This window comes from Homo sapiens, chromosome 13 (genome assembly GCF_000001405.40).
Source record: "Homo sapiens chromosome 13, GRCh38.p14 Primary Assembly".
Classification (NCBI taxonomy): domain Eukaryota; kingdom Metazoa; phylum Chordata; class Mammalia; order Primates; family Hominidae; genus Homo; species Homo sapiens.
This window is the reverse complement of record NC_000013.11, coordinates 97,230,359-97,244,903: the sequence shown is the minus strand read 5'-3', so window position 1 is coordinate 97,244,903 and position 14,545 is coordinate 97,230,359. Positions and strand designations below refer to the sequence as shown.

The window sequence follows — 14,545 nt, the reverse complement described above, 5'->3', positions numbered from 1 at the left end:
ATAGTCTATAATTCAAGCTCTTCAGTAATTAGATTAAAATGCAGTTTTATTATATTTCAATTTCATTTTCTATAGTAGTGGATAAATGTAAGCCCATCCCAGTGCAGACCTGGTGTATCTCTCACCCAGATAAGCCCCTGTTTTTATGGGCAGTGTAAAGATGTACCCAGAACTGATTTCTTCAAAACAAGCACCGTGAAACAAATGTCTGATTCTTTGACCAATGTGCACCAGCAGCAAAACAAACAGGCCATTATATTTGTGGCAAAGAATGAGATTACAAAGTCAATGAAGAACAAGGCACATTATCTAGTCGTTGGTCTACATTGTAAAACAAAGGCACAAAAGTGCTGTTCATACATGAAAAAAGTCAAAGTTTCATGGTTCTCAGTGAAGTTCAATGGTTAGGGGATTCATACTGACTATAAGTTGACTTGTCTCTATTTGTTTCCCGATTTCTCTTAGCAGATGACAGGCTTTCCTTGGCTTTTCTGATCTTGATCTATTCAGCAGTGTTAACGAGACACTGGCCTGGTTTCCTCTCTGCATCCGTCAATTTGTTGCTTTCAAAATTACAGCTTGTGTTTATTCAGGACAGCTACAAAAGTCATCGTGTTTGAAATGCATGAAAACTTAAATTCATTGAAAATATTTCACTAGCAGGTTTCTTAAAATTTTTATCGTTGGTGTGTGATAATATTTGAAATTAAATATGACTAAAGAATCACATTGGAATTTTACAAGCATGTCTATGACCTAATCCTGTAAGTTAGCCTTTAAACTGTGAGGACTTTGAAACCACCATTATTCGTTGTTACATGAGATGAATCTGTTTTTTATTTGGTCATTTTTAGCCAAAAGAGAGGGTAAAATACTGTCCTTACTATGATCAAGAACCAGAGTGTGTTTTTTTCCCCCTTGCCTTTCTGATACTGTGAAAGACAGAAGTGTAGGGAGAACATGTAGAAGCCCACAGAGAAGTTTCCCTCTACCTTTTTTCTCCTGCCACTTCTGATGAATGATAACAAAATAAGATCCATGCCGGAGGATAAAATTCTCAGTTACCCAGCCCTATCCAGGATGAGCAAAATAGTCCTCTTTCTCTGCATCCACATAATGCTATTTGCTGGCAAATTTAGCTCTTAATTCGTTTGTTGTTTTTTCCCCCTCCAAGGGTGGGGAGGAGAGAAGAAAAAGAGAAAAGAAAAAGAAACTGTTAAATGCTCAATTGTCTATTAGTTTTAGCTTATAGATGCAACTTGATATGCCTTAGAAGCAACTAATTAGAAGGAACATGCTAATTAGAAGACTGACGTGCTTCTCCACTTTCGTTGATTTCTGGCATATGGGGCATCCTCCAAGACCCAGTTCAAATCCCTTGTTGGAAAATCATGACCAGCCCTGTCCCCTACCCCTACTACCCCAGCCAGCCAGTCCTGTCCTCCCTGATCCTTGTGCCCCCTTTCCATTTATCCTCACCTCCTTGAGGCTGACCTTGCTGCTGCTGTACCTGGCCAGAATAGCAGCCAGGCTAATGCATCTTTGTAGCCCAACCCCTAGTACAGCATCCGACACATGCTGGCTACTCACTTAGGGTTTGTTGACTGACTAAATAAATAAGCCGTCAGGAGCAGTCCATAAGGCAATCTAAGAACCTTGATTTTTCATCCTCCAGGGTAAACTGAAAATGCATCTACCTAAACTGCAGTGGAACTTGATATGTTCAAGGGACATTGTCTTTTGTTCAACTCTCTCTCCCACATCCACTGTCCGTGCCTGCCACTGGCCACCGCTGCAGATAGTCACTTGGGCAGTGGGGGATATATGGGAGGGGTTGGCTGGGTTGGTGACACTCTGAGCTCATGCCCAAGCTTTGGGGCTTCAGGCTGATAGAGGGCAAGAAGGAGACGCCTGCACAGGAGCGCATGCGCTCAGTGGAGGGGAGGGACTGCCGCGTGCGGAGCCCTGCTCAGTCGGCTTTCATTTTCCTTCCACCAGCACCAATTTCAGAGGATGATGTCATTGGACAACGACTCCATAATACATGCCAGTTATAGTAGCATCCCCACAGATCCAAGCTTAACTGTTCTCAAACTGTCAATCAAGCAACGTACAGGAGGGGGGAAAAAAAAAAAAAGGAACAAGTAAGTCCTGCTTATTCCAAGCTCTTTTAATGTTTCTTAGGTACCCTCATCCCCAACCCCGGGGGGCTCCCGGGACCCAGGAAGTCCTCATTCTGCTATGTCAACTGCAATGTATGCTCCTCTTCTAGACCCTACATTTCTCGGGGACTGGGGATGTTTCTGTGTTCCACATGGGGCCGAGGACAAGTCTCAGACACCACTCTGTGCCCTGCAAAATCACAAGTTCAGGGTCAGGATTATATTTTGGGTAGAAGACGGCAGGTAACAGGATTGTTGATGCCTCTACTGTCTAGCTGAGGGGACTGAATGTAAAACCCCTCTGAGCAGATCCAGGGACATCATCTCAGTTGGCCTGACCTGCACCAGGGAGTCAACAGGATCCTGGTAACAAGGTGACCCTGCAAGGCACAGGCTGTGTCTCAGTTGCCTAATGCAGCCCAAGAAATGCGGGAGCCTTGGCTATGAAGAGAGCAACATATTTGAGCCACGTGCCCGCTCCCTCCTCTTTCCTAGATCTAAACACCCTAAAGCACAAAGAAGAACATTGCCTTTTGGGTTCCAAAGACACATTTTGTAATTGAAGTTTCTGGAGGTCTAGGAGTGTGTTGGGGGTGGGCAGTGGTGTCGTCAAAATCCTACCCATTTCACTGCAGCTAGCCCAGGGTTGAGGGAGACACCTTCTCCGAGTTGTGGGAACATGGGCCTAGCCTTTCCTTGTTGCTTCAGAAGGCATCGGAAGTGTCCTCAATCAGGCAATTTCCTCTCGGAGGAACCCCATGTGTGCACACAATAAGAGCTCATTTCCTCCTATTGGCTTTTGTTTGAGTGGTTTCCTTTGATATGGGATGTATGCCACTCTCCTGCACAGTTATCTCAAACCAGGCATCCTTCTAAGCTCAACACAAGGCCCACTCCAATTGGAGTCAGACCCAACTCGCCTAACTCTGATGGCCCCTCCCTCCTTCCCACCTTAAATGAAGCAGCAAGTATCCAGGGCCCAAGTGAAATAGGGTTGGTCTCAGGGTTCTCCAATGGCTTTTGGGGTGCATGCCTGTGTTGCACACGTGCGTGTGTGCAATGTTTATGCATATGTGTGTCTTAACTGCTCAATTCCATTGCTACCAATCATGATTGTTTCACTTCATTACCTAGCATCAGGATACTAGGCACACAGTTGGATTTTAATCAGTGCTCTGAATGAAAGGACTAAGCCTTTTGAAAATGATTCACAATGGATTTGAAGATCTGTAGATATACTTTGATTTGGAAAATATTGAAAACCTTTCTCAACTGAAAGCTGAAACGGAGACTTAGATTTCAGAGTAGCATACATTTTTCTTTGCACTCCCTCCTCTGTTTTGAATTTTTTTCACGTTTCTGTTCTTATTTCTCCCTGTGTGCTGATCAAATGGACTCTGTACCACACTTCTTTCCTCTTGGTTGTGTGTGACCCAAATCTTATGACCCAGAGCTCCAGCAAACACCTAACTTGTGAAAGTATCTCTGCTGCTAATGGGTTCTCAGTGGGGAAAAAAAAGGACATGTGATATTGAGTCTTCCAACACAGGCAACTGGGTCAGCACATCCAGGAAGGAAGGGGACTTCAGTTCCAGGAAACACCTTGAACCAATCCTTACATATTCATGCTCTGAGCAACAAAGAGGCTAACCTTTCCTGAGGGACCAGAGGGCTAGAATGGAACGGCAGATATAATGGGAGTGTTTCCTGGACCCAGAGGAAATTCATTCATTCATTCAGTCAGTCAGTCATTCATTTCCAAAAGTTTTAAGCTCAGGAGTTTGGCCCCTGTGTGAGCCAGTTACCATCTGCTTGAACAACCTAAAAACAGCCCGAGTGAGGACAGAAGCAATTTTATCTGTGCCAAAACAGCTCAAGGCATGGCCTATCACGGAGCTCGTTCAAGTGCTTCATTTTCACACATGCACTACATGAAACTTTCCAAATGTAGCCCAGCCCTCCTGTTTTCAAAAGCAGCTACATTTCAATCATCCTAGAAATACTATGATTCCTTTAGTCTGGGTAACATGCTCCAGTGTTTTACCATCTCCTTCAAATGTAAACATTCCCAAAAGTCTTTTGTAGAATAAAAAGCCTTCTTGCATTTTGCTAAAAGAACAATGGGATCTTTGTGAGGGATATCAAGCCTTTAAGAATTTGCAGAAATAGTCATGTCAAAGCCCCTGCTCTTTCTAGAATTGCTTAGAGGGTCTATAGCATTCATTGGTGGTTATTCTCTAATAGCTTTATGTCCACCCCAGATAACTATATCTTATTTATTAATGTATATTTTGTGCAGTGTAGAAAGTACTTTCTCATGTAATTAAGTTACATGAGGTGATCTCATTTAATCCCAAGCATCGCCCAAAGAAGTGGGAATTATTACTCCCATTTTAAAGATAAGAAAACTGAGATTCAAATCGATGTCAAAATCTGCCTGAAGTTGTGCAGCTAGTCTGTGGCAGAGCCAGGATTTGGGTGCAGGATTTGAATGTTCTCCTAACCCCTGTGCCAGGAGGTCTGTGAATAATTTGTGTCAACATCACTGTGTAGTCTAGCAATAAATGTGGGTTCCTAGGCCCCACCTCAGACTCCCCGAGTCAGAATCATGGGAGGTGGGGCCTAGGATTCAGAAGTCTGGGGTGGGGCCCTGGAATCTGTCCTTCTAACAAGCTTCCCAAGAGTATGTGTATCTAACAAAATCAACCTTCAGAGTAACTTGGGAGAGCTTTTGAAATGGGTATGGAAAGAAAATACAACTTCTTCTCCTGGGGTTGGAGTTGGGTGGAGAGGTGAATATAGTCCAGAAATACAACCTTGTACCAGTGGCTACAAATCTTATTCTGGGTTTGTCTGTAGATGTGCTTGTCTTTTATTAAGTTTTCGAGTGGCCCTCAAGGGCAAAGAAATAGGTCAATCCATTTTGTCAGACGTGCTGTACATTTTGTGCAGCCACACATAACCAGAAGTATCTATCCTACAGCACTCAAGCAGCTAAAACTTATTTTAAGAGTTAGGACGCTCCAGAGAACTCACAGTTCACGTATCTCACACTTAGTTTCTCTCTGTCCACAGCCTTCATCAGCCAAACTTCTTTGAAGTTTAAATGAAAAAAGATCCCTGGTTGAAGGGATTGGAGCATAGCTGGCCTCTCTTTAGCACTAAAGCACAACTTCATAGAGATGCATATGTTCCCAGGGGGAAAATGCATTCATTTTTCATCACCATATAAACTTCTGGGTATATTTGTATAGATGATGGACTATGGATTTCTGTGAGTATGACTCATAGCTAATAATTATCTAGAGAAATGCCTGCCTCAATACTAAAACACTTCAGCCATTCACAAGTATTCCACAAACATTATTTATTGAGCATCTACTACTTATCAGACATTGGCTCAAGTTTAAAATGCATGGAGATTACTATAAGGAGACATTAAAAATATTCCATATGAGGTATCTATATTGGCAGGTTGTTATTTAGGAGAAGAGTTATCTAGGCACATGAATTAGCCTTTGCTGATACCCTGTAGTATGAAGGGAAAAGCTAAAGAAAATAATAAACAGTAGTACAAAAAATATTTGTATAGCACTTTAGAAAGAAGCAGCAGTCTCTGTATTGCAGTTATGCCTGTGGTAATACAGAGATCGTGTTTGATTAGCAGTGAGGCTGGATGTAGCATCTTGAGCCCTCTCCGAAACGGTTATTTTGAGTAGAGCAGAATTCATTTCAAGGCAAAGGCCTCTGGAAGCCTCCTTGGAGACGCCTTTAGACCTCACCTCACCACCTTCCTTCACATTTATCTAATGTTTTTCACCTTTCCTGGTAGAGCAGAATCATACTTAAGCCTATCAATTTTCAAAAACCATTTTTTCCCAGTGGCCTCAGCTCATGAATCCCCAGCAGGCAGCCTCCAATGAGCCAAAAGTTGCCCCAGGTGCCACCAGGCAGCCCAGCACACCTTGCCCTCCAACCTAAACTTGCTTACTTTATCCCTGCCTCTTCTCTGCTCACCGCCATCTCCCCTTTGGCTGTGCTACCTGTCTCCCACTCCCTACCTAATCGTTTTCACTTTCCACTTCCCTGGTGCCTTGCAGTTCAGCAGCCCACGCAGCACTCTTCCAAAAAGGGACTTTCCCAAAGGTCAGAGGCGTTGTCTTGGCTTCTGCACCTCATAGGACTGGGCCCGGTCTTCATCTTTATTGAACTTTCTTTAGGATCTGCCACCATTTCCCATTCTCACCTGGTTTCAGGAAGCCTTAATCTATGACACAGTGAATAGCATGATCCTTTGTCACAGATCCAAAGGCAATGAGAGAGGTTATGAGGCCCATACACCTGTTCCAAGGTGCCCTCACCTTGGATGAAATGCTCTTCACTTTGGATTTTTGTGCCAGTGGAAGTGTGCCTAGGAAATTCCCTTCAATGTAAGGCTTTCCCAAGCCTGTGTCATCTACCCAAGCCTGTGTCGTCTACCATTTTCTAGATTGCACTTGTTTTCTTTGCTATCTCAATTCCTCTATGATTTCAAACATCAGTCTTCTGTGGATGAATTCCAAATATACATTGGGCTCCACACGCTACAGAAGCCTAGACCCATACTTCTCAGAGGACATTCCGACTTCAAACTCTTAATGATCAGAGCCAATTTTATTGTCTTCCCCCATCCTCCTGTGTGTTTATGCCATTGGCATCACTGGTTTTTCTGTTTTCTAAGCTGATCGTGTCCAGGTCGGCTTTGACTCCCTCCCTTTCCCTTGGCCCCAGTCAATCCTGCCCATGCTCTTCGTAAGTTGCTCCTGGCCTCAGCACAGCACCTCATTCTCATTGCTGCTATCCCAGCCCATGCCTTCATGACCTGCCTGAGCGTCTGCAATTCTCAGGTCTAAACTCTGCTCACGGAATTATCTCTCTAAAGCATTGTCTGACCCCTCATTTACCTGCTTAAAAATATTTGGTGGCTCTCTGCTGCATTCTGAATAAAGTTTGAAATACATAGGGTGGCATTCAAAGTCATTCACAATTTAGTCCATGCCAAGTACACCCTAGACTGCACTTCATGCTCCAGAAAAACCTGCATGGGTGCTTTTCAGGTGCACACAATGTGATTTTATCTATCCTTCAAGGCCATGTCAGATGTTTTCTCCTCCAGGAAGCCTTCCCTGACTGCCTTACTTGGATGGCACTAATCTCACAGGCATCTTATACCTCCCTTGTGGCATAATACCTTCACCATGGTGATTTATTTACACATCTTACCTGTAACGGTAGAGTATAAATTCCATGAGGGGAAAGGAAATGGGAAAGACTTAAGAAATAATTTTCTCCTCATCCACTATCTTTCATACATTTCTTTTTCCTGCAAACTTTTCTATAGCCAATGAAAGCTTCATTAAGGAGAACACATTTGCCCTGGCAGAGCAGGTCCTTAAATTAACAATGCCATCAGCTCCTTCCCACTGACAAAGGGTCCCTCACCATGCATAAGGCAATTCTGGTCCATTGTTTTACCAAATCTTCACAAAAATCCTGAGAGGTGGGCACAAGAAACCAGAGGTCCAATGAATTTGGTAACTCGTGCTTCCTACGGGACCCCGGGATTCAAATCTGTGTTGATGACCCACAAACTGCATTCCTGCCATCCTTAGCCATCCTTATTTATTTTTTGAGATCTGCAATCCCTTGACTTAAACAGACTAACAGGCTAATCTAGGGCTACACCGCCAGAAAAGGGCAAAGGGCTTTGTCATCTGCTGTCCCCACACTCTTCCTTCCTTCCATTTGTCTTGATTGCCAAATAGAAAAAAAAAAGTCTCTTAAGCAAAGCTTTCATGCATTTGAATAAAATAAAAATAGGGAGAAACAAGGAGATGTTTTGTATATAATGACAAAGTAACTGTTATTATTACTGTCAGCATCATTATTAGTTAGCACTGATCATTTCCTTTCAAGTTTCTAATTTGGAGCATTAACTTCCGTCTGGTCCAGGGTAGAATGATAAGCTGGCTGTCATGACCCTTCATGGTTCTGATTATAGGCGGGAACAGAGACCACTGCTGGAAGCCCAGAAGGTTCCAGAAGAGAGAAATGAATAAAAAGCGGAGGTCCAAGTGGGAAAAGAATAAAAATATAGGACTACCTTCCCACGAACTTTATCTTATAATACAAAGTACAAGGTAGCCAGCTACATTTTTAAAACTTTATTAAAGACAAAAAAAAAAAAAAGACCACATATCCTGTATCCAGCCCACTGGATTTTCACAAAGTGAACACATCTGTACATCTCACACCCAGATGAAGAAATAAAATATTAGCAGAGCCCCAGGAGCACCCCCTCCAACCTTTCAGATACCACCCCCAACCCCAAGGGAAAGCATGCCCCTAGGACTACCTAGCTGGCTGTATTTTAAATTAACCCCTTCGTTCTGGCCAGGACAGCCTGTGCTCTTCTGAGAGAAACCTTTTCTTGCAGCAACTGTCACTTCAAAGCAGGGGGAAAATAAAGTGTGTGTGAGGGAGTAATTTTGTGTGTAGGAGAAAAGTGTTTCTAATTTTCAGTCCTGAAAATGTGAGGGGAAGAAAGAATACGTGAAAAAAAAGAGGGAAATAAGTCGGTAAATGCAGTCCTTGCTATGCCTCCACCATTAGGAGCTGGAAGGCTTCCAGCGACATGCCATTTTGAGCAAGGAAGCAAACACAATCGCCCTTCTCCACCCTCCCCAGCCTCCGCCAGGGCAGGTCAGCTCCAACGCCCATCACCGTCAAATTTGCGGATAGGCTGACGGTTATTATTTAACGGTAACATGTTCACTAGAAGGCTGACAGTGTATTGAACATATGGTTTTGATTTTTTTTTTTTTCTGTTTGTAACTAGGGAGCAAGATGGGGAGCGTCAGAAACCTAACTCCAGGATTTGCTGGGTTCTCCAAACTGTAGCGGGAACCTCACTCCCAGGCCGATGCCCCTCTAGCGTCTGCAGCTCTGGGCCCCAGGGAGGGAGGAAGGAGCCACAGAGGGTTCGGACAACAGCACTGACTGATGCCAGAGCAGGACTCCATTCTGTTAACCTGACAAAGCGCACAGGCTGCGCCGGCATGTTTTTCTTCCACTTTCTACACTAATTTATCAAACTGGAAGGAAGAGATCAGAACATCAAATAAAAATCCACAGCCACAGAGCAATTAACTCAAGACCTAACATGTACCTGGATAAGGGGACTCACAAGAATTCCGGTATCTACAAGGTTTTAAATGGCAATGTTTTCTAACTTTGTATCTTGGGTTATTGGTCGTCAATGTTTCCAAAAATAATCACTCCTCTCAGTTACATTTTCTGATCAATTATTGAATGAGGTCTGCGTTATACAACATAAATTTCACCGAGTGGGGAAAACTCATGCTCTTGAGTGGTCAGCTAGAAAGCTGGCAATTTTTGTTAAAAATGCAAATTTTTGGCCTGGCAAATCATGCTTGCTGGGTTTATAGGGCATTAATAAAACTAATACTAGTACAGAGGAAAAAAAAAGACAGAGTTTGTGATAGAGTAGGGGCCTGGGGATCTCTACGTTAAATATCAACTCAAGTCTGAAAGCTTCAGATCAAGCTCTGGGCCTTCTCTACATGAAAATGTGGTCACCTCATAGAGAAATGGTTCAACACCCCTCCTCACCCTTCCTTTGTTTGCTCTGCGTGTCCCTAAGAAGGCCTGGGCGGAACTGAGGGAGAAAATCCTTCCTGGTTTCTCCTTCTACGAGGAAGGAGGGCAGGTTAGTGCAGCCTGCTGTTGACTGGAGCTGGGATTAATTAGTTCCTCCAGTGACCTTGGCACCTACTGATGGCGAAGTGTGTCTCTAAGCTGCTGAGAGCCGCAGAGAAACTCGGGAGGACTGAGCGCTACTGCGAAAATGCTCGTTGAACCAAAACACATAGACGATGACGGAAGAAAACCAAAAACGTGTACCTTATCTCTAAACACTGCCCGAGTGTGTTATTCAAATGGTTGATGTGAAGAAATACCTCAATCTATCTCTGCATGTATGTTTATTTAAATCTCGATCCATCAGTCTATTGTCCTTGTGGGTAATTTTGCAAGCCAGTGTCCCGCACATTGCCAGGGATTTCTGGAGGGGGCTGTTACCTGTGGTTGGGACTGAAAACAATTTTAAAGCATCCCATCATGCAGTTGTGGAAGATCATCTGTCCCGCCACACTTTACCTTCATCTATTCACTACCCCCCGCCCCCGCACTGTGCTCAGGCCTGAACCAAGCTGAGAGAAGTTAAAGAGCCCCACCTCTTTCTCTTATCACAGCTGGTTCAAGGTTCAATTTGAGTCTACAATGGGTCAACACTGCCAGAGAAGCTCAGTGTCTTGGGTTGCATATATAAAGGTATTCTATCATGAATTAGGGAGGTGCCATACTGGTCCTGTCAGAGGAATTCTGACATCTTCAAGTACGTGAAGGGGCTCGCCTCCTAAAGAGACACTTGATTTGCTTAGGGTTACTCCAAAGGCCTGAACAAGGATGAAGAGTGCAGGTTACAGAGTCCCATTTCATTTCAGCATGAGGAAGAATTTTCTAACAAAATGTTATGGCTTGTATGCGCCATAGGGTCATGATTGTCCGGTCAATAAAGAAAGATACACAATAGCTGGAAACAGCTTGTCAGGGCTGGGGAAGAGGGTAGACAGGAATTGTGCTAATAATCCCTCAGATGCCTTCCCACTTGGGATTTCCTTCTAATTTCTACCTTATATTTGTATTTTTTGTCAGTTGGGTAGATCTCCAAGGAGTGGTGTGGTGGGGCCGTCAGAATCCTGTGTAATGTGAAAAAGTTCTTCCATTGACTCTAATGTGTCTTCCCACAGCAAACCACCATTCTGGTACTTGAGTACCCAGGAGAACAAAGAAGCAGCTAGAGTAGCACGCATTGTGGGAAGTAAGTAGTTAAAAGGACCAAAGCTCTCTGCTGGTCCCAGCAGCCCCAGAGGCAGCCAGTCCCTTTGATCCTGACTCTTAATTGCAGCCTACTTGCACCAGGGAACTTTAAAGAAAAAAAAAAAAACAGGGAAACTCTAGAGATAGAGCTTGTTTTGTTTCCTGAGGGGATGGTCTTTGTGGTGGCTGCCAGGAGGCTGATACTTGAGGCTTCAAATGATTGGTTTCCTAAAGGGGAAAATAAATAGTTCCTTCCACCAGCTAAGACTCAGGTGTGACTAGAACCCCAGAAATATGAGGTGTCTGTGTGTGCCATTTAGTAGGGGTGCCAGGTACAGACTTCGAAGAGAGAACAGGACATTAGAAAAGAGACCATGGGCTAGCGCAGGAGCAGGCAGAGCACTAGAAAAAGAGAGCCTGCTCAACACTTGGACACAGGAAGGGGAACATCACACAGCGGGGCCTGTTGTGGGGTGGGGGGAGGGGGGAGGGATAGCATTAGGAGATATACCTAATGTAAATGACGAGTTAATAGGTGCAGCACACCAACATGGCGCATGTATACATATGTAACAAACCTGCATGTTGTGCACATGTACCCTAGAACTTAAAGTATAATAAAAAGATATATATATATATATATATATATATATATATATATATATATATATATATGAAAAAGAGCCTGAAGCGAGAGCATCAAAGAAAACGGCACTGCACAGGAAGGGAAGTCAAAGAAAAAAGGGATCTCTAAGAATTCTCATAGAGAGCAACAAAATCACAACAGCACAAACATTTCACTTTGGAATAGGTCTTACAGTTGATAACGAGCTTTTACCTATGGTATCTATTTAAGGTGTCTAAATGTTGAGATCCATCAAGTTGTTTAAGTTCATTCAGTGTACGTGCGCACACACACACACACACACACACACACACACACACACACATAGCGTCAAGAGTAAGAAAAAGGCCGACAAATAATCACAGCAAATAGTGGAGATGATGCCCTAGCTATCCTTGGCAATATACCAAGTCCCTTTGTGAGGAGGGACTTCTGGCTAAAACTGAACTCATGCCTGCACAGTATGCCAGTAATTGCTTATGTCTATTTAACTATTTAGTGAGCTCCACTAACAGTACTTACAACTGTCGGGGAAGTTTTTCTAAAGCAAACCCTTTTTGCTGCAATCCCCAAGTAAGAACTGGTGGACAAGGGTTGCATGTTTCCATCCTACCATCTTGAGTTTTACCCCTTATTCTGTAACCTTGGCAAGTAACTTGGTCTCTCTAAGCTTCATTTTCTTCATGAAAAGGTTTAACTGAGTTGATATACAGGAAGCTATCAGCAGAGGAGGACTTTCCATATAGTAAGTGCTCAATAAATTCAATAAATGTTAGTTCTGTTTCATTCCTAAAAGGTTATTGGTAAATTAAAAATGCATAAAAATACCGGCCATCTGTGTGTGGACTAAATGAGCATCTGGGTAGGGAACACTTCCTCTAAATCAGTTTAGCTTGACTCCTGGTTCTAGGAAAGAGGGGGCCACATGTGGGACACACAGGAAAACAAGGCATCTGAAAGGAGGGAGGACAGACAGGGGCACGAGATGGATGACCTATAACAAGGTATGAGACTCAACAATCAGGCCTGGGCATTTCACTTAAGCTACTTCGTTAGACAGCTGTCTCTTCTCATAATGTCTTCGTTTCTATTACAAGACTTTAAAACTAGCATTTTTTAAATAAATGCGATGTTAATGGCATATAACCCTTCCTCTCTATCCTTCACATTCTTTGGAGATGAGGAGGAGAGAATGGCGCTATCTACATCTTAGGGAATGAATGTGTCAGAGCTCCTGGACCTAATTCACCAAGGATGTGAGGATGCAAGTAGGCACATCAGACTTCTGGGCTCCAGTTCTGACCACCATCCAGAAGAAAAGGAATCTAAGGCCGGTTTATAATGCATATATTCCTTAGGATAATAAAAAAAAAAACAACTCTGGAGCAGACAGATAAACACAACAGCCTTCCCTGGAGGCAGTAACCAAATCTCTTGGGGAACTTGTGAGAGTCTGTGTCCACTGAGAAGATAGACGTCTCGGGAATGGGGAGATAGCCAGAGACAGGCTGTGTGTAGTCACAGAACTGCTTGCAGCTGCTGAAGTCCCTGGCTTCATGCCTTCAGCCCCAGCCACATTGGTGCAAGGCTGGTGGGATATATCAGTTCAACCTCAGCTTCACTCTGAGGCTGAACAGCCTGGAAAGACCTGCTGTGTGGAGGAGGTAGGTCCCAGTCTCCAGACTGCCAGAAGATCCTCCAAGGAGCCATCCCAGACCCAGTGATCTGCTGCCACTCACATTGTGGCAGTGACACTTCCAAAGCAGCTATTGTATTCTGGAGCCTCCTGGATGAACATCAGCTTTATCACCTGGAGCCTGTTACAAATGTAGAATCTTGACCTCAGCCCAGCCCTACTGAATCAGAGTCTACATTTTTAATGAGATCCCCAGGTGATTCGCAGGCACATGAGAGTTTGAGAAGTGCTGTCTGGTTACTTATGGTAGGTGTCTGGTGTGACGGCATCAATCTATTTGCATACTTCAAGTACTTTCTCATCATGAAAGGCTATTTTCTTCAGAGAAGTCCTTATGGCTGGGTTCAATTGAGAACTGCTAGAATCAGAAATAAATGAATCCCCAGGGTCTTTGAGAACAGGATGACAAGTGTCAAGTGATATCTCCAATCACTCTGGAATTACTGTTCTAACCAGTAACATCCCCAAAATATATACATTTTGAGAGATGGATGCAGAAGTATTGATAATTATTGGTTTTTAAATACTCTCTCTGCTTATTAGTGAAGATCGACTTTTAAAAAGTCAACTGTATATACGAGAGATACAGCTACAAAGGTTCCCTTAACTATCTAATATTCTGTGGCTCTAAACAAGATTCTGAACCAATATTTGCCCCAAAAGGACCACAGCCAGAAACCCTTGCCAGAGAGGAAAAGCTATGTGCAGGAGAGTAGTTCAACCCAGGAGACTACACTGTTTTCTTATGGAATCCTGGAGATTAGGCTATGGTGCTTAATAGTATTGGTTGTTCATTTTTTAAAAACAATTTTGCTCCTTTGTGGGTATTTATTTTTCTGATTCTTTGCTAGCTCTTATTCTCTTTTGGGCCCTTGCCATGTTCCCCAAGATTCATCCTTTGTCATTGCCTATCTCTGTTCACGCTGCCTTCTTTCACGAGGTGTGAGCACCAATGGCTTCAACTACGGCTTCAACACAGGTGTGTCTGAGCTTGTATTTGTAGCCTGTTGTCCAGGCTGTTCTTCATTCCCACATTGTCAAATGTTTATGAGACATCTCCACTTAGATGTTTCATCATTAGCTAAAAACACCATTCTCAAGTCTAAAAACTCATCATCGCCC

At 43.5% G+C, this 14,545-nt stretch overlaps 1 protein-coding gene and 2 long non-coding RNA genes across 57 annotated transcripts in view; 2 read left to right on the top strand and 1 right to left on the bottom strand.

Moving 5' to 3' along the window:
* Positions 1-2,050, top strand: part of LOC101927385 (uncharacterized) — a 55,360-nt gene extending 53,310 nt beyond the window's left edge. Inside the window, exon 4 of the long non-coding RNA XR_001749966.2 lies at positions 1,999-2,050. This is a non-coding gene — a long non-coding RNA (uncharacterized LOC101927385). The remainder of the gene's footprint in view (positions 1-1,998) is intronic.
* The window catches only part of MBNL2 (muscleblind like splicing regulator 2), a 252,287-nt gene that overhangs the window by 149,217 nt on the left and 88,525 nt on the right, over positions 1-14,545 (bottom strand). The gene's annotated exons all lie outside the window — the stretch shown is intronic.
* Positions 5,354-9,493, top strand: LOC107984573 (uncharacterized). Its single transcript, XR_001749968.1, has 2 exons — positions 5,354-5,436; positions 9,040-9,493. It is a non-coding gene; the product is annotated as an uncharacterized LOC107984573 (long non-coding RNA).